Source organism: Homo sapiens, chromosome 20 (genome assembly GCF_000001405.40).
Source record: "Homo sapiens chromosome 20, GRCh38.p14 Primary Assembly".
NCBI classification, from domain to species: Eukaryota; Metazoa; Chordata; class Mammalia; order Primates; family Hominidae; genus Homo; species Homo sapiens.
Genome location: NC_000020.11, coordinates 47,755,349 through 47,773,846, shown reverse-complemented (window position 1 = coordinate 47,773,846; position 18,498 = coordinate 47,755,349). Strand labels below are relative to the sequence as shown.

The 18,498-nt window shown below is 51.4% G+C and overlaps 1 protein-coding gene across 18 annotated transcripts in view, besides 7 other annotated features; it reads left to right on the top strand.

Annotated features, from left to right (window-relative positions):
• Positions 1-18,498, top strand: part of SULF2 (sulfatase 2) — a 129,222-nt gene that overhangs the window by 12,781 nt on the left and 97,943 nt on the right. For 15 of the 18 annotated variants that reach the window (XM_047440296.1, XM_047440295.1, NM_198596.3 and 12 more), the window contains exon 2: positions 16,384-16,658. In XM_047440296.1, coding sequence (XP_047296252.1) covers positions 16,484-16,658 — 175 coding nt within the window. In that variant the 5' untranslated portion in view covers positions 16,384-16,483. Of the gene's footprint in view, positions 1-9,418; positions 9,636-16,383; positions 16,659-18,498 lie in introns of those variants that run through there. The other 3 variants (XM_047440301.1, NM_001387049.1, NM_001387055.1) reach the window with 1 other exon arrangement.
• Positions 7,248-7,542: a silencer, noted in NCBI's record as "tiled region #8498; HepG2 Repressive non-DNase unmatched - State 10:DNaseD". NCBI's record gives its function as "represses a minimal TATA promoter and a strong SV40 promoter by Sharpr-MPRA in HepG2 cells {active_cell/tissue: HepG2}" and the evidence as "EXISTENCE:reporter gene assay evidence [ECO:0000049][PMID:27701403]".
• Positions 7,248-8,187: a biological region, named in NCBI's record as "Sharpr-MPRA regulatory region 8498".
• Positions 7,415-8,187: an enhancer, noted in NCBI's record as "H3K27ac hESC enhancer chr20:46394404-46395176 (GRCh37/hg19 assembly coordinates)". NCBI's record gives its function as "activates a minimal SCP1, AML or CMV promoter by ChIP-STARR-seq in primed H9 embryonic stem cells {active_cell/tissue: H9 hESC(primed)}" and the evidence as "EXISTENCE:reporter gene assay evidence [ECO:0000049][PMID:30033119]".
• Positions 11,908-12,446: an enhancer, noted in NCBI's record as "NANOG hESC enhancer chr20:46390145-46390683 (GRCh37/hg19 assembly coordinates)". NCBI's record gives its function as "activates a minimal SCP1, AML or CMV promoter by ChIP-STARR-seq in naive H9 embryonic stem cells {active_cell/tissue: H9 hESC(naive)}" and the evidence as "EXISTENCE:reporter gene assay evidence [ECO:0000049][PMID:30033119]".
• Positions 14,180-14,936: an enhancer, noted in NCBI's record as "H3K4me1 hESC enhancer chr20:46387655-46388411 (GRCh37/hg19 assembly coordinates)". NCBI's record gives its function as "activates a minimal SCP1, AML or CMV promoter by ChIP-STARR-seq in naive H9 embryonic stem cells {active_cell/tissue: H9 hESC(naive)}" and the evidence as "EXISTENCE:reporter gene assay evidence [ECO:0000049][PMID:30033119]".
• Positions 14,937-15,695: an enhancer, noted in NCBI's record as "H3K4me1 hESC enhancer chr20:46386896-46387654 (GRCh37/hg19 assembly coordinates)". NCBI's record gives its function as "activates a minimal SCP1, AML or CMV promoter by ChIP-STARR-seq in naive H9 embryonic stem cells {active_cell/tissue: H9 hESC(naive)}" and the evidence as "EXISTENCE:reporter gene assay evidence [ECO:0000049][PMID:30033119]".
• Positions 15,696-16,453: an enhancer, noted in NCBI's record as "H3K4me1 hESC enhancer chr20:46386138-46386895 (GRCh37/hg19 assembly coordinates)". NCBI's record gives its function as "activates a minimal SCP1, AML or CMV promoter by ChIP-STARR-seq in primed H9 embryonic stem cells {active_cell/tissue: H9 hESC(primed)}" and the evidence as "EXISTENCE:reporter gene assay evidence [ECO:0000049][PMID:30033119]".

Sequence of the window (18,498 nt, the reverse complement as noted above, 5' to 3'; positions counted from 1 at the left end):
GCTAAGAAAATGTGGGGCTGAAAAGGAGGAGGGGGTTAAAAAGGTGGAATTGTCAGTCCCCACTGTGGCAGTCTACACTGAGAACCAGCCCACAGTTAGGCGTGAATAATGACTCTGTTCAAGTCGGACTTTATTGCTTTTGGCCAAAGGCCTTTTGCAGAAATAACTTTGTAACTCCCTGCCAGGGAAGCTTTTGTCCACAGCTGAGACAAAGGAACAAAGAACAGAGGTGGGAATTTCTGTATCTGATTTCTACTTCCTCTAAACAGCCAGAAAGGACAGCGGGTGTGGCCTGCCCAGAAGGCATGGGCTGGGGCAAAGGGGTGTCCAGCCTCCTGTGGGCCACACTGCCGTGCTCGGCTGCACCATGTTGGTTTCATTGTGCACATTCCCACCCCAGGGCCTTTGCACTTACTTCCTCCGTTCATAGAAAGCATTTTGCCCACAACTGGCTTCTCGCCCGCCTCTGCTCTCAGCTCAGATGCCATTTCCTTATGCCACCTCCTCATGCCAGAGAGGCCTTTCCCAATTTACTGTCCATCCTATCACCTGACAGCTTCCTCCAAAGCTCTTAAGACAATCTTCATTCATTCATTTTCTCCTCCACCAAGGTATCACAGCTCCATGAGGACAGAGGCCTGGCCTGCCTTGTGGCCACTGCTGTTTCTTAGCATGTGGCACATAGTAGGTGCTCAGGAAAGATTGGATAGCTTGGAAGAGTCGCACATAGCTCCCAGGCCAAGCTCCAGCGGGGCTTTATGGAGCCCGCTCAGTGCTTAAAATAGGTTGAAAGTTTTTACTTTGGAAATGGTGTTTCCGGTGTAGTCCAGGCGCCACCCCATCTCTATCCTAAATCTAGGCCACTTTACTCACTCAGGTCTCCTGCCCGACCCTTGGATGCATTTGCATATTTGTCCCTGCTTTAGACAAAGGCCACTGCAAACATATCTCTCTCCAAAGGTCACCAGACAACATCCAGACTTCTTGCATTGCCAAGTCTTGTGCCAGACCGGTGGCCTCCACCAACCAGGTCCCATTGACTGGATCAAGGTGTAGTCTTCATCTTAGCCGTCCACGCACAGGGCGTAAGTGGCGTTGATCTCATCATAAGCAGGTCATGGCAGGAGGAGGGTCGGGCAGGAGACCTGAGTGAGTGAAGTGGCCTAGATTCAGGATAAGAGACGGGGTAGGGCCTGGACTACATTGGAAATGCCATTTCCAACGTAAAAACCTTTAACTTTTCCTTTTTCCCCTTTTCCTTTTCTGCTCTCCTCCAAGCCTCTGGGTCATCAAGGAGGGAATCGCGTGAACTCCTCCTTTATGGTCTTCAAGGAGACCTACTCCCAATGTAAGGGGAAGCGCAGAGGCCTTGGCAAGCAAGAATGTAACCACAATGTCATTGCCTTTATACTGTTGCCATCTAAGTATGGCAGGGGTTCTCACCTAGGGGCAGTTTTGCCCCCTAGGGGGACATTTGGCAGTGTCTGGAGATATTTTTGATTGTCACAACTGGGGTAGGTGCTACTTGCATCTCATGGACAGAGGCCTGTGAACACCCTGTGATACACAGCACAGTCCCCCATCGAAGAATGATCCTGCCCACGCGGCAGTAATGCCAAGGTTGAGAGACCCAGGTTTATGGCAATGGGTGCTGGTTCCTCCAAGATAGACTTTTCTTTCTAAATAAATTTATTGAAATAAGAAAGGGAATGAATGAATGAATTTAGGCCCAGATTTGGGTATTCTACTTATACCAGACTTTTAAAAATTCATTTATTTATTCTGAGACGCTGGCATATGGGATGGAGCACAGAGGTTAACGATCAGCCCTGTCATCCCTTTCGGAGCAGATCAGGCTGTACCATTTGCCTCAAATCAGGAGCCCCTGCCCTGGAAGCTGCCATCTTGCCAGAAACTTCCTGGGGAGCTGCCTGTAAAAAACTCTAGCAGCAGTTGATTCTGGCCCAGGTGGAAAAGCTGTGTTATCCCAGGCGGAGTTCCGGCAGGTTGGGAGATGTTTCCAGGTCTCCTGCCCAGCCAGGCATGATGAGCATCCTTCCAAGCTTGGCCCCGGAGCCCTGGCCCAGCACCCCCATTTGAAGCCTGCAGAGCCTCATCATCACTGCCCCCGCCCCCGCCCCATCCTGCCACTGACAAGCCAATACCTGCCTGATGAGAGGGGCTCCCAGGGACAGCAGCCTTCCCTCCTGGACTCCAGGGCAACCTCCATGTTGTTGGGCGGCTTTGAGCACAGGGCTCAAGGGCAGAGGCTGAGTTGGAAAATTTCTTGCCTCTGCAGAAGGGAAGAGCTGGGGGAGGTTGGGGCCTTTTTCCCCAAACGAGGTCTTATTCTTCTGTGGGGTTTTCTGGGTTTGTTAGGTGGCTTCCTTTCTACTTAAAAATAAGCTGGGAGTGGTTAAAAAATGGGAAGAAATCAATGTTTCTGGCGTACATAGAACTGAGCAGATGTGTTATCTAGAATAAGGAGGAGAGGTTGTTGTGACTCTAGCTCCTGGTACGAGCCCTTCAGTTCACCCTCCTGCCCTGCTCAGAACCCCCTGGACCTGACATCGTGGCTTTAACACCCTTGGGTCATGTGAGAAGGAAGAGTGCCCACCCAGGACTTTCCGAGGCTCACAGATTCTTTGAAATGGACGTGAGCACAAACGCCCAGCCCCGACAGCCAGGGATCAGATCGGGTTTCACTTCCTAGGAGGGAGGATGTACTGCAGGGGAGGCCCACGTGGCTGCCCCAGGCCTGGCCAGCCTCTGTGACCCAGCAGGACTGACTGTTTTACGGGATGGCCACACGGTACCCTGCAGGCTCATCCATGGTGGGACCTTGATGCTCCTTTGTTGAGATGTGGGTCTGTGTCCCCTCCCCTTGAATCTGGCCAGACGTGCGTAGCCCTGGTGGAAGGAACACCATGGGACAGCAGAAAAGATGAGCCAGCTCCCCCTGGATCACTGGGACCCTCGCTGTTGTGTAAGAAATCAGACCCCACTGCAAGGCCGCCATGCTGTGAGGAAGCCCAAGCCACACTGAGGCCACATGGAGGTGCCCACTCCGCAGCCCCTCCCAAGCTCCCAACCGACTGCCAGCAACAACTGCCAGACAAGCCAAGGCCCTGCTGAGCCTTCTCAGCAGTGGCCTCAGACGTTACAAAGCAGAGACCAGCCCTTCCTGCCATGTCCTGCGCAAGTTCCTGATCAGGAGCCTCTGAGAATAAAAGAAAGATTTTAATTCACCACTAAGTTTTGCGGTAAATTGTTACACAGTATTAGTAACTGGAGCATTCAGCCAATTCCAGTCTTCCCACCGTGCAGTTATTCATTCATTCACTGAACAATATTCAGAAACCGTCCACCTCTTGCCCCTTCTTTGCTCCCACCTAGTCATCTCAGTGGCCTCCCTGTGCCTACCCTCATGCCCTGCAGTCTGTTCCCCTCACATAGTCAGAAGGATTCTGTTAAAACTTACATCAGGGCTGGGCATGGTGGCTCATGCTTGTAATCCCAGCTCTTTGGGAGGCTGAGGTGAGAGGATTGTTTGAGTCCAGGAGTTCAACACCAGCCTGGGCAACATAGCAAGACCTCATCTCTACCAAAAATTTAAAAAGTAATCGGGCATGGTTGTCCTCACCTGCAGTCCCAGCTGCTTGGGAGGCTGAGGTGGGAGGATTGCCTGAGCCTGGGAAATGGAGGTTGCAGTGAGCTATGTTCGTGCCGCTGCACTCCAGCCTGGGCGACAGAGCAGGACTCTGTCTCAAAAAAAAAAAAAAAAAAAAAAAAACTACACCAGATCACATCACCCGCAAGCTAGAACCCCCCAGCCCCCTTCACTCAGCTCCGTGCCGCCATGCGTGCCCCCTTTCCGGCCCTCCCTCAGGCATCTTCCTACCTCAGGACAGTTGCGCTTTCTGTTCCCTGTGCCTAGGATGCTCTTCCCCTAAATATCCACAAGGCATGTTCCCTCCCCTCCTGCAGGGATCCACCCAACTGTCATCTCTCAGGCCTTCGCTACCCAACCTATTTAAAGTTACACCCCCTCACTCCCTAGCACTCCAACCTCCCTCCTTAGGACTTGATCTCCTTGGGACACGTTGCCTCATATGTTGTGTAATTTATTTTGGTGTCTGATCCATGAAGGATTGTTTTTCCTGATTCCCAGCACTGAAGAATAGGGCCGGGAACATAGTAGGTGCTCAGGAAATCTCGGCTGCCTATCTGGAAGAATTAGCACCTCGGCTCTGCCAGGAGCTGGGGCCGTGGCGTCAGGCAACCAAGAGACAGCCCCTGCCCATGCGAGCTTCTGGTGGAGGGATGCCCCTCTACAAAATAAAAACCCAGGCCAGGTGCAGCGGTTCACGCCTGTAATCCCAGCACATTGGGAGGCCAAGGTGGGCAGATCACTTGAGGTCAGGAGTTTGAGACCAGCCTGGCCAACATGGTGAAACCCTGTCTCTACTAAAAAAAAAAAAAAAAAATACAAAAATTAGGCAGGTGTGGCCGGGCGCGGTGGCTCACGCCTGTAGTCCCAGCACTTTGGGAAGCCGAGGCGGGTGGATCACAAGGTCAGGAAATTGAGACCATTCTGGCTAACACAGTGAAAGCCCGTCTCTACTAAAAATACAAAAAAATTAGCGGGCGTGGTGGTGGGCACCTGTAGTTCCAGCTACTCAGGAGGCGGAGGCAGGAGAATCACTTGAACCCAGGAGGTGGAGGTATGCAGTGAGCTGAGATCACGCTACTGCACTCCAGCCTGGGCGACAGAGTGAAACTCCGTCTCAAAAAAAAAATGAGGCAGGCATGGTGGCGGGTGCCTGTAATCCCAGCTACTCAGGAGGCTGAGGCAGGAGAATCACTTGAACCTGGGAGGTGGAGGTTGCAGTGAGCCAAGGTCATGCCACTGTACTCCAGCCTGGATGTCAGAGGAGACTCCATCTCAAAAAAAAAAAAAAAAACACGCACACAAACACAAACTCAGGCCAGAGAGTAAATAGAGGAATCACAAGTTATGATAAGTGCTCTGAAGAGAGCAGTGCTGGGACTGGGGGTGGGGGTGACCGAGCAGGGCCTGCTTCAGGGACAGAGGGCCAGGGAAGGCCCAAGTCACAGCCAGGGTGGCCGAGTCAGGTCCAGAATTTGTGATTCCCACACCCACGTTCCTTCCGCTTTTCCACACTACCTTCTCTTATCAGTTGTCAAAGAAGGATGGGCGAGTTGGCCCTCAGTAAGGCGGAGAGTTGGGCACAGGCCAAGGAGGCCTAGCGTGGGCTGGTAGGCCGTGCCCTGAGGCCTCTGTTCACACAGGCACGAGGTGGCCAGGAAGCCACGGGAGTCAGCCCTCTGCCTCCAGCCCGCCCCCCAATTTGGGTTCATTTGGTTGCAAGTGAGAGAGCAACTAGGAATGACCTAATTGAAAAAAGGGAATTTCACTTCTGATCTTGAAGAGTCAAAAGTATGGGGAAACTGACCTACAAAGAAAACAGAAACTAGTTAAAGAGGAATTTATTGGGCCTGAAACAAAGAACCCAACCCAAATCTTCCTCTTTCAGGCTGGGCTGGATCCCAGGTGTCCAGTGCTGTTAAGTCCCAAGTATGGTGCATTTCACAGCACTGCTGTGTTCGGTGTGTTGGCTTCATTCCCGACCCCACTCAAGACAAAGTGGCGTCGCTGTCTTCCCTGGTCCTCACATTGGAACCACATGGAGTGAGTTAGCCAGTTGTAAAGACTGGATGCCTCTTCCTGACCAGTCAGGCCAAAGGGCCTGGATTACTCTGGCCCGTCACTGAGGCAAGGGGTGGGGAGGCTCTGATTGGCCCAGGTCTAGGATCCCACGATCTAGCATTGTAGCTCCAGAACTGGAGCCTAATTTGAACTTTGTGGACCAAGGGTGGGGAGAAAAGGATCCCCCAATATTTTTTTTTTTTTTTTGAGACAGAGTCTTGCTCTGTCGCCTAGGCTGGAGTGCAGTGGCGTGATCTCAGCTCAATTCTCCTGCCTTGGCCTCCCGAGTAACTGAGATTACAGGCACATGTCACCACACCTGGCTAATTTTTGTTGTTTTTGAGACACGGTCTTGCTCTGTCACCCAGGCTGGAGTGCAGTAGCGCAATCTCGGCTCACTGCAAGCTCTGCCTCCTGGGTTCACGCCATTCTCCTGCCTCAGCCTTCCAAGTAGCTAGGACTACAGGCATGTGCCACCACACCCAGCTAATTTTTTATTTTTAGTAGAGATGGGGTTTCACCGCATTAACCAGGATGGTCTCGATCTGACCTCATGATCCACCTGCCGCAGCCTCCCAAAGTGCTGGGATAACAGGCGTGAGCCACTGTGCCCAGCCTAATTTTTGTAGTTTTAGTAGAGATGGGGTTTCACCATGTTGGCTAAGCTGATCTCAAACTCTGGACCTCAAATGATCCACCTGCCTTGGCCTCCCAAAGTGCTGGGATTACAGGTGTAAGCCGCCACACCCGGCCTCAGACTCCCAAGAAAATTGGGAGCTGTTATAGAAAGGAGATAATCCTGGGTGGCCCAAACCTAGCAGAGAACACAAGCCAGCATTTATTGGGCACTTGCTGCATACAGATCTGTTGAAAGTCTCCGTGCATGTTAAACCATCCACTCTGTAGGCAAGTGCTTGTAGGTGTCCTCACTTTCCAGATGAAGTCACTGAGAAGACAAGAGGTTCAGACACTTGCCCAACCTCTAGTAAGTGACGGAGCTGAGATCCAAACCCAGGCAGGCTAGCTCTAGATCCTACCCTCCTCCTACTCAGCGTGTTCCCTGTGGCATTTTCCCCCAAGTAAGTATCAGGCTGTTTGCTTACCTCTGTCCGCTGTTTGTCAGCTCTCTGAGAATCGAGAGTTTTGTCTGTTCTTTTTTTTTTTTTCTACTGATCATGAAACAGTACAAAGCAAGTGGCAGATGCTCAGGTATTTGAGGGTGTGAATTATATGGCCTGTCAAACATCTACCCACTTGACATACAAAACATTTTGGTGCTCAGCTTCCTAAGACTTGAATACATTGTTTCTAAATTTCCTTTGTGCTCTAACTTTAATCCATGGCCACTCTGTTCTCACAGCTTGCCGGTGGTTTGCCATTATTTCCAGTCCTCTTTTCTGATCATTCTCACATGTAGCTGGAATCTTTCAACTCCAGCTTTTCCTATGTTGACTTAGAGTATCACTTCCAGGAGGGCAGGGAGCTTTCTTTTCACTGCTTTATCCACAGTGCCAAGAACTGTGCCTGGCACACACGAGCCTTCAGGAATGTCTTGTTACATCAATAGTTAGGCAGGTAACTGGGTTCCTAAGCCCTGCATTTTTGCCCTACAATCTTTATGCCCTAATTTCCTTTCCAGATCCTGAGCCTTTGTCTTGAAACCTGATCTTTCCCTCCTCCCTCTGAATGACCCTTCTATTGTCTCCTGCCCTGTTCTTGAGAGCCGGCTTGGTTCTCTGCCTCCATTTGGAATTCCAAGAACAGGCAAGGAGAGCCACAAGATGGCCTGGGCTAGGTAGGGGAGACAGGGAGAAGCTGTGGCCCATAGGTTACAGGAGCTTCTGTCCTTTCTTTGACGGCCCCAAAGAGGAGGAGAGAAGGCTGGAGAAAGCCTGTAGCCAGGAAGAAAGGGAGACACAGGGGAGTGTAAAGTTTAACAGATGTGCGTGTGTCATCCCCTGTCTAGACAGCTTCTGGGCTTGTGAGGTTTGGGACCACACTTTCCCATCCCTCCAGGGGCCTCTCTCTGTTTCCTCTGCCTGCTCTTTGCCCAAACTGTTTCTCCTGCCTGAAGCATCCTGTCCTCCACCCTCCTCTTCACTGGCCATCCAAATCCTTTGGATTCTTCAGAACTTTGCTCCTGTTAGGCTGCTCAGTTTATGCTAAGTACTCCTCCAGGAAGCCCTCCCTGACTGCTCCCAGGCCAGCAGTTTCCCCTTTCCTCTTGCTGTTTATACAACACACTTAACCTCAGTCCCTTGTATCACTTGTTGCTTTCCAAGTCAGCATAAGTGTCAAAAGAGTAGGCTCTGGGGTCAGAATGTCTGTGTGCAAATAGCCATGCTGGCTTGCTTGTTTTGTCTGTCACTTGGAGGTGGCACATCCAAGTGAACCTCCCAGGGGACAGGGAAGAGTGGATTACTGTTGTAATCGGGCAGGATTCTCCTATCACTGAACACTGCCTCACATATAGCAGGCCCTTAATAAATATTTGTAAAGTAAATGAAGGAAGAGAGAAATGATCAGGCTCCCTGGACCACCTGAGGAGGCCCTCAGGTCTGTTGCTGGGCTCTGGCCCCAGCCCGTGGGACATATCTGCACACCCACAATTTCCTTTCTTCCCTCCTCTCATGAGTGTTTCCCGTCTGACCAATGCCGCCTTCTGCCTCTGGCCCCTTCTTCCTCTCCCACCACCTCAACTGCCTAATTATTACCAAACTTCTCTCTCCTGTTTTTTTTTTTTTGTTTTGTTTTGTTTTTTTTTAAGGCAGTGTCGCTCTGTCACCCAGGCTGGAGTACAGTGGCTCGATCTCGGCTCACTGCAGGCTCCACCTCTGAGTTCACGCTATTCTCCTGCCTCAGCCTCCCAAGTAGCTGGGACTACAGGCGCCCGCCACCACGCCCAGCTAATTTTTTTGTATTTTTTTTAGTAGAGACGGGGTTTCACCGTGTTACCCAGGATGGTCTCGATCTCCTGACCTCGTGATCCGCCCGCCTTGGCCTCCCAAAGTGCTGGGATTACAGACGTGAGCTGCCGCGCCCAGCCCTCTCTCCTCCTCTTGTTGGATTTGGAGGTGGAGAGAAGATGGGAAGGGAGGACCAAAGGGACAGTATTCAGCACCCATGCTGCACGACACTGGGCAGGTTCTGGAACCTGTCCGTGCCTTATCTTCCTTGTCTGTAAATGGAGCATCCCAACTCACAAGGTGGTTGTAAGGGTGGCGTGAGGTCACACACTAAAAGTGCTTAGAATTGTGCAGGGCCCCTGATGTTAGCTATCATTCATTATTGTTCTTCTAGGGTGTTTCCTGTGTTGGTCTGGGTGCTCCCTGTTGCAAATGACAGCCCTAATTCGGACTCTCTTAAGCAGCAAAGGGCACTTTTTTGAGTCTGTACCTGGCTACAAGATGCAACTTGGTCCACCCCATTGTCACCAGCATCCTCTCTCTCGGGCTCCATCCAATGGGCGGCCACCATCAGCACCATATTCATGCCTCCTGGCACCCAGCACAGTCTCCTCCAGCCTCCAGGACTCCCTCTCGCTTATTGGCCAGACTTGGGTCACATGTCTGCCCCAGGACCAATCGCTGAAGCTAGAGCTGGAATTGCTGATTGGCTCCACCTGGCTCACATGCGCTGCCCTGCAGTCAAACCATATATAAGGGGGGGTGGGAAATAAGAGCACTTGTGGCCTCAAAGCACTAACAGGGGCTGTTACCAGGAGACAGGAGATAATTCTTTGTTAAGCCAGTAAATATTTTGAATGCCTGCTATGCCGCAAGCATTGTTTTAATTGTTGAGGATATAGATCTGAACAAAAATGACAAAAACCTGTACCTTCAGGGGGCTGATATTCTGCTGGAGGACATCCGCAAAGAAATAAAGGAGCTAGCTGTGAGAGGTGGTAAGTGCTACTGGGGAGGGCAGAGATTTCGGTTTTAACCTGCCAAGGTGAAATTTGAGCAAAGACCTGAGGAGGGGGAAGAAGGGATGGTGAAGATAACCTGAATGAAGGCTCCAGGCAGAGGGAGCAGCAAGTTCAAGGGCCCTGGGGTGGGCTGTGCTAGCATGTGCAAGGAACAGTACAGAGACCGTGTGGCTGGAACCAGGTGTGCAAGGGAGAGAGGGGAAGGCAATAAGGTCGGAGAGGTGATGGAGCAGGTTGGGTGGGTTCTTGTAGCCCCTTTGGAGGGTTTTTGCGTTTTACTCTGCGTGGGATGGAAGTTATTGAAGGCCGTTCAGTGGAGGAAGGCAGGCCCTTGCTTTTGTTTTAACAGGATCTGTCTGGCTGCTTGATGGAAGGGACGAGGTAGAAGCAGGGAAACCAGTTAGGAGGCTGTTGGAATCCAGGCAGGATTCTCCTATCACTGAACACTGTGCCTCATAGGAGGTCCTTCATACGTATTTGTAAAGTGAAAGAAGGAAGAGAGAGAAATGATCAGGTTCTCTGGACCACCTGGGGAGGCCGCTAGGTCTGTTGCGGGGCTCTGGCCCCAGCCCGTGGGACGTATCTGCACACCCACAGTTTGCTTTCTTCCCGCCTTTCATGGACATTTACCATCTGACCAGTGCCTCCTTCTGCCTCTGGCCCCTTCTTCCTCTCCCACCACCTCAGCTGCCTGATTGTTCCCAAACTTCTCTCTCCTCCTCTTGTTGGATTTGGAGATCCTCAGAGGAAAACAGCCCATCTGGGTCTTTCTAAACAGGTCTGGATGAGGTCCCAGGTGTTTGTTCACCGCTGTGGTTTGTGGCATTGGGAAGGTGAGGGCATCAGTCACTCAGACCCGTTCCTCTTGGCAGATCGGCAGAGAAATTGAGAACTAAAAATGATGTTTCTAAATGCTCAGGACGTTAGCTGTTTCCAGAGATGTCTCCTGGGCTGGCGAGCCTTTGCCAAGGTCCTGGAGAAGACTCAGGATGGAGAGGAGGAGCCAGAGAGACCTGGAAAGGAACTGGTGGGAAGGAGAGGTGTTGTCCACAGCAGGGATGGAGTGGCAGGCGGCTGGTGCTGCGTGAGTTCACTGGGTGCTCTCTCGGTTCAGCCACTTTGAATATTTTACCAAGAAAAAGGAAAAAAAACAAGGCAGAATCCCTTGTGTCATCTTTAATTGATTTCTTCAGCATCCGGAGAGAAACTGGCATGAGGCCACGAGAAGTCTGAGCCAGGGGAATTCATCAGAAATCGACCCACTGATGACTTGATCTGATGAAATAATTAGCTCCTGTTATTCTCTGGCTTCTGGTGCCGGAGCTTTGACTTCCATCCAGAGGAGAGCGGGTGATAGCCGCCCAGGAGTGGGGGGTGCTCTGAAACCAACATGGGAGCCAGGAACGAAGTCCAGCTGACTGTGCCCCGGGCTCCATCTTTACCCAGCCCAGGGCTCCCAATGAAGACTGCCCTTCCCAGCCCCCCTGTACCCTGGCATCACAGGCCCAGGGCCAAAAAGGCCCTCAGAGGGCACCTGGCCACCTGGCAAATGAGGAAACTGAGGCTGGGAGACTCTTAGGAACTTGTTCAAAGATCTGCTTCTAGGGGGTCCTGGTTGAGCTGCCCAAATCGGGCCAGACTAGGTTTGAACCCCTTCTCTGCCACTTACCCATATGATCGGGGGAAAGTGATTTTAACTCTCTGTGCCTCAGCTTCTTCATCCATAAAATGGGTGAAATATTGATGGGTGGGTGTGCATATTAATTGGGTTGACACCTGCAAACAGCTCAGAGCAGAGACTGGAGTGTGCTGCAAGCTTTCAGAAAGGTTTTCCTGTGATTGGTTTCTGGTTTCAGAGAGTTGCTATTTGTAGGGCACCCCATCGGAATTCTCCCAATATTAGCACTCCACGTCTGTCTCTCTGAAGGAACGTGAATGTGCATCTTAGAACGCTGGCTGCTGCAATCGTAGTTTCAAGTGCAAAGCATCCCGTAGTGTTTCCCGATGGAGGGACATGGGCCACTGATAATGTATTAGTCTGTTTTCACGCTGCTGATAAAGACATACCCGAGACTGGGTAATTTAAAAGAAAAAGATTTAATGGACTCATTGTTCCATGTGGCTGGGGAGGCCTTACAATCATGGTGGAAGGTGAAAGGCACGTCTTATGTGATGGCAGACAAAAGAAGATGAGAACCAAGCAAAAGGGGAAACCCTTTATAAAACCGTCAGATCTCATGAGACTTATTCACTACCATGAGAACAGTATGGGGGAACCACCCCCATGATTCAATTATCTCCCACCAGGTCCCTCCCACAACACGTGGGAATTATGGGCGCTACAAGTCAAGATGAGATTTGGGTGAGGACACAGCCAAACCATATCAGATACACAACATAGTTTGAGGATTACTCTGATTTGGGGTGGTTCAGGGACTGATTCGATGGCTAGAGTTTGTCTCCTTTTCAGCTGTCTGGCAGCCTCCAGTTACCTCCAGCAGAAAGTCTCAGATGGTGCTAATGTGCTTTGACTCCTTTCAACACCTGCTAATCTCACTTCAAAAGAGAGTGCGAGCGCGAGGGCACGCGAAGCCTGGGAAGCTATTTGCATCAAGTTCCACTGATTCAGCTTTCTTTGACTTTTATTTGTACAATTAGCTCTACAGGGAAGCGATGTCCACTTTCCATTTATCTTTGGGTAGGAAGTTTTCTTTTCCCAAAACATGTGTTTGTGTTTTTATTTTAAAATGAGGCCATTTAAAGAAGCACGTTAAGCAAATAATCACTGAAGGGCTCTGCAGATTCAGCAGAAATCAGGGCCGTGGTCCTTGAACGGAAAGAGTTGGGAAATCCGAGTTTCGTGATGAGAAGCCCACATTGAACGGTGAGGGAGGGCAGAATTCACATCCCATCCCTGCCATCTTCTGTCTGGGTGGCCTTAGGACAGTAATGAAACCTCAGTTTTCTCTGGGGCTAATAATAGTACTTGCAGGAGGGAGCCTTGGTGGAGGTTGAAGGAGATTTCAGAGTGCCTGACGCAGGACAGCTGCAGCGGTAGGATCACTCTAATAATGGTTTACATTGTGGAATATGTATCCCAGTTAGTACTATGGCCAGGCTCTAGTCCCAGCACACTGTATCAACACATTTAATCCTGCACACCCATTTCACAGATGAGGAAACTGAGGCACAAAGGTGTTAAGTTACTAGCTCAGGGTCTTTCAGCAAGTAACTCCAAAGTCCACATCCTTAACCATCACACCACGTGGCATAAAGCAGGTGCCCAGCAGGCAGTTGCCGCAGTGGCTCTGGCTGTCATGAGGTGTATGTTTCTGCAGACGAGAGATTGAGAAGGAAGGTGTTGTTCACCCTCTGGTCCCATGAAACTCACAGTTCTCATGTCAGACGACTGCATCGAGTGTGTCCCCAGCTCCCCTGAAATTGTGACTCTCAGAGCCACCTGGGAAGGAGGCATTGAGCGGAGCCTGCTTCCTGCTCCCAGGGGAGGTGCTAGAAGGGAGACTTGCTGTCCTGGCCAGCCTGACATAGGATACAGGTCCCTGAATGAAGTAAATTAGGGTGCGCATCAGGGCAGCTGGGAGAGTTGATTGAAAGCACTGTTTTCAGAGGCAGGTGGGCAAAGGGAGCAAAGAAATGATGCTGCACCGAGGAACCGGTAGCAACAGGAGCCCTTACTTTCCCGAGACTTGATGGGGCAAGAGGAGGGAGAGGTGAACTCAGAACTGGGGAGACGCTAGAGCCAGGAGGGGCCCCAGGCAGGAGCTGCATCCACACACACAGACACGAAGGCTACTGCCTGGGGAGCTACTGCGTGCGGGAGGAGAATAAATGCACGGACTTCCCACCACCTCCCATGCTGCAGCCTCCCAGCCGGAAGCCAGAGAGCAGGGACGTGCCGACCGTGCCATCTGTAGAGCTCAGCCTCCCAGGGTGCCAAGCAGAGCTGGGGGAGAAATGGAGCAGGAGTGACCCTTCCTGGGGTTTTTCAACCATAGCGCTGCCCAGAGAACACAGTGGCCAGCTCCTCGTTGGTGTCCATGGAGGGTGGCTGGGGCAAGGCATCAGTGATGGACGCCTCTGAGCCATGTAGACCCAAGCTATGGCACGGCCCTGCCAAGTCCAGCTTCCCTCACTCTGCAGAACTCAAAGGACCTTAGCAGAACCTCCGTTCCTTTATTTATCTATTTCTTTGTGCCAAGGCCTGGAGACAGCCATGAATAACATAAGCCTGTCTCTGTCCTCAGGGAGCTGACCCCCTAGTGGGGAAGAATTGGACAATAAATAAGAAATTGCAGGCTGCAGTAGTGATTACAAGAGAAATAAAACCGGTTATAAAATGCAGAGTGCCTGGGTTGGGGGCCCCCGCTTTAAATAGGGTGGCCAGGGCAGGCCTCTCTGAGGTGATGACGTTTGTTCTTTTGACAGAAAGAGCCAGGAGTACAAAGCAGGAGTTTGTTGTTGTTGTTGTTGTTTTTGAGACGGAGTCTCACTCTGTCACCCAGGCTGGAGTGCAATGACATGATCTCGGCTCACTGCAACCTCCATTTCCCAGGTTCAAGCGATTCTCCTGCCTCAGCCTCCCGAGTAGCTGGGATTACAGGCATGTGCCACCATGCCCAGCTAATTTGCGTATTTTTAGTAGAGATGGGGTTTCACCATGTTGATCAGGCTGGTCTCGAACTCCTGACCTCAGGTGATCCACCTGCCTCAGCCTGCCAAAGTGCTGGAATTACAGATGTGAGCCACTGCGCACAGCTGCGGGAGTTATTTTTAAAAGAGCAGGTGCAAAGACCCTGGGGCAAAGAGAAGCTTGACTTGTCCATTCGACAGAAAGAAGCCAGTAGGGCTGGAAAGGAGAGGTCGAGGAGAAGTGGGCAGGGGCCAGATCTCACGGGCCAGGGCAGCCCTGGCAAGAAGTTTGCATCTTATCCTGTGAGCCATGAGCAGCCAGGGAAGGTGCGGCAGGTGAGCACAGGACTGGCACTAAGGTGAGGCGAGTGCCTGGCACTTGTGCAGCCTGGGAGCGAGCACCCCCTTCAGTCTGTACCTGCACGAGGCACTGTGCCCTCCCCTGCCCAGTGCTGTGATCTGATCTGTATTTTAGGAAGATTCCTCCGGCTGCCCTGGGAAAATGGAGGATGGGGGCAGGGAAGAGGGAGGCGGGAGACCCCTCAGGCCACCTTGCAGTCCCCAGGAGAGATGAAGCAGGCAGCACATCCCCCTGCTGAACCCGGAGACCTTGCTGAGCCTCTGAGTCATGACTTTGAGCTGATGGCTGGGGTTCCCCATGAAGGGCAAGGACAAACAGACCCTTTCAAGGTCACAGCAACACAGCCACCCCCACAGCACTTGGCTTCCTCCCGGCACATCTGCAGGCTGTGGCTCTCTCGCTCATGCTCTCTTGTTTTAAATAAATGATACCAAAAGTCTATATCTGGACAGGACTTGAAGGCTCATTTCCTCAAGAAGTGAAAAAATGACCACGGAGAGCAAAGAGCAGGGCGAGATTAGAGACCTGCTTGAGCCAGAGTCGCGTCCCCACCTCCCCGCACCCACCTTCGCTGGTGACCTAGTCTGACCTGGGGCCAGGGGGGTGACTGAGGGCACAGTGGCCTGTGGCAGGTCTTCCCCCTCCACCTTTTAGCGCTCAATTTTCTCTATTGTCATTTCATTTATTCTGCAACTTAAAACTAATAGGCTGGGCACAGTGGCTCACACCTATAACCCCAGCACTTTGGGAGGCCAGGGCAGGTGGATCACCTGAGTTCAGGAGTTCAAGACCAGCCTGGCCAACATGGTGAAACCCCATCTCTACCAAAAATACAAAAAATTAGCCGGGCGTGGTGGCAGGCGCCTGTAATCCCAGCTTCTCTAGAGGCTGAGGCAGGAGAATCGCTTGAACACCAGGAGGCAGAGGTCGCAGTGAGCCCAGATGGCGTCATTGCACTCCAGCCTGAGCAACAAGAGCAAAACTCTGTCTGGGAAAAAAAAAAAAAAAAAAAAAGGAATACTTTTTTGCCCAACTACAAGATCCCTTAACAAGGGGCTTTCACACGCATCCCCAGCAGACTGAAATCTTACAACAGCCCTGTCTACTCATTTTGTTCATGGGGAAACCGAGGTTCCAAACGGGCTTGCTCACGGGAAAACTGAGCCAGTGAGTGGAAGATCTGCCACTCACACATGCCAGTTGTCCAGCCCAAAACATCCAGCTCCAGGCTCTCGTTTAAACCCCTGATTGAATCCCCCGCTGCTGGGGAGCTGGAACTTCATCTCCCTCACCTCTGTACCCCACGGTGCGGGCAGATGCAAGAGGACGGCAAATATTCACCCCTTGAGACCAGCCCGCTGCTGTTCCTCTCCCTGGGGACGATTTGTCTGTGGAGTTGGGTGGATTATTCAGAGACGGCTGTTATCTGACTCGGGTCTTGGGCTGCCACCGACACATCAGAGGCTCACTGGATCCAGGGAAGAAATTGTTTCTGCAGAAGTGGCCACAGAAGGCTTTTCTGCCAGTCTGTTGACCAAGCAAACTGTAAAGACTTTGCTAACTTCAGCGGAGTTCGGTTTTCACTCTGCCATAGCCACCCCTGTTCAAAGAAACTCCCATTGTTCATGCCAGCCGCCATACAAATCATTATGCAAGAATGAGCAGCCGGCAGCCTTGACATAAATATTGACCTGATTCTTCCTCCTCCTCTAGATCTGCGAGTGAAGAGGGACGAGGGAAAAGAAACAAAGCCACAGACGCAACTTGAGACTCCCGCATCCCAAAAGAAGCACCAGATCAGCAAAAAAAGAAGATGGGCCCCCCGAGCCTCGTGCTGTGCTTGCTGTCCGCAACTGTGTTCTCCCTGCTGGGTGGAAGCTCGGCCTTCCTGTCGCACCACCGCCTGAAAGGCAGGTTTCAGAGGGACCGCAGGAACATCCGCCCCAACATCATCCTGGTGCTGACGGACGACCAGGATGTGGAGCTGGGTAAGCCTCGGGGCCCCAGGGTGGCACCTCGGCCCCTCGGAGCAGGGTCCCTGGGTTAGGCTGAGGCTCCTGAGGCAAGGCGGTGGTGTTGATGCGTCGTGCTCACTTTTGAGTACATTGAAACCAAGACACGGGCCACCCACACGTGTTTGGGGTCACAACTGGGTCCTCAAGGTTAGGGGTCTCTACCCTTCTCCAGTTGCACAACCGTTCCTGGATTTCTCCAAAGAGTTAAAGAGAACAGGCTGGGCGCTATGGCTCATGCTTGTAATCCCAGCACGTTGGGAGGCCGAGGCAGGTGGATCACCTGAAGTCAGGGGTTCGAGACCAGCCTGGCCAACGTGGTGAAACCCCGTCTTTACTAAAACTACAGAAATGAGCCAGGCATGATGGCGCACACCTGTAACCCCAGCTACTGAGGAGACTGGGGCACAAGAATCACTTGAATCCAGGAGAAGGAGGTTGCAGTGAGTGGAGGTCATGCCACTACACTCCAGCCTGGGTGACAGAGTGAGACTCTGTCTCAAAAAAAAAAAAAAAAGATGAGACATGAGCCTGGAGCCAAATTTTGGAGGCTCTTGTGGGTTGTGGCAAAGACTGTCAATCATTGATCCCGTGAAGGGTGATCCCTCAGCCTCTGTCCACTCTTAAAGGATAACAGCGTGTTGTTGGTGGCAACAAATGTGAAGGTTGACTAGGTTAGCCTTGACAACCTGAATTTGTCTTTTAGCTACCAGGAAAAGGCAATTTACATAAAACCAAGTTGTTCCTTGCAATGCTTTGTATTAATGATCACAAGTATAGTTTTTTTCCTCCGGGAGCTTCTCAGTGCAGAAAGAATTTGTAGCCAGGAAGCAATCAGAGCCCAGAGCTTTTATTGACAATTTGACACATAGGATACCTATCTCCTGGCAGCATTTAGAATGAGGCGCATTTGATAACTATGGGGAGTCTGCAGACTGTGGCCAGAGAGGTGTGTTTCGTTTCTTGAAGAATTTTGCAGAGGGGTCTTGCAGGCAGCACCTGGACCTCAGAGCTTCTTGGTCTCACATTGTGTAGCCCCGACGCTGTTTCGGCTATAGTCATGCTTAGAATTTCCGATGCCCTGCACGTTTGTTCATTCATCCAGCAGATGTTTATTACGCATTTGTTGCATTCAGTGCACTGTGTCAGGAGCCAGAGAACTAAGGGAGGCTCATTCCAGGTGAGGAGAACAGGAAATTCAAAGATACTGAGATAGAAATGGGCTCGGTGGTTTGGAGCAAAAAAAAAAAGTGCCAGGGAGCCGGAGTGGAGGGAGCTGGGGCCGTGATGGAGAGAGATGAAGCTGAGGAGCTGACTTGGCCCGGGTTGCACCAGGCCTTGTGGCCATGGTGGGGGCTTTGAGTTTGATTCTTAGTAAAATAGACATGGATGAGGGGGCCTTAAGAAGAGGAAGGCCGTGACCTCACTTAGGTTCTAACAGGATCCCCCAGCTCTTTTGATGAAATTAAATCGCAGGGGTAAGGGCAGAAACAGGACACTCATTCAGAGGCCGATGGGGTGATAGGGCAGTGATGATGGAAGCTCAGACCCGGGTGCTGAGATGCGGTCCCACCTGATGTATATTTGGGAAATAAACTGATCAATGGGTTAGGTATGTGGGTTATGGAAAAGATACGTTTCAAGGGCAGCCGCTAGATTTGGGGCCCGAATCAACAGGTGAGTGGCTGAATACCCACTCTTAGGAACAACACATTTTTGCAACATGATCCAGCTAAGTCTCATGTCTGAATCTGACTGAATTTTGCATCTGTGACTTGTGAATAAAACCAACAGTGTATGCAGATAAAAAGAAAGC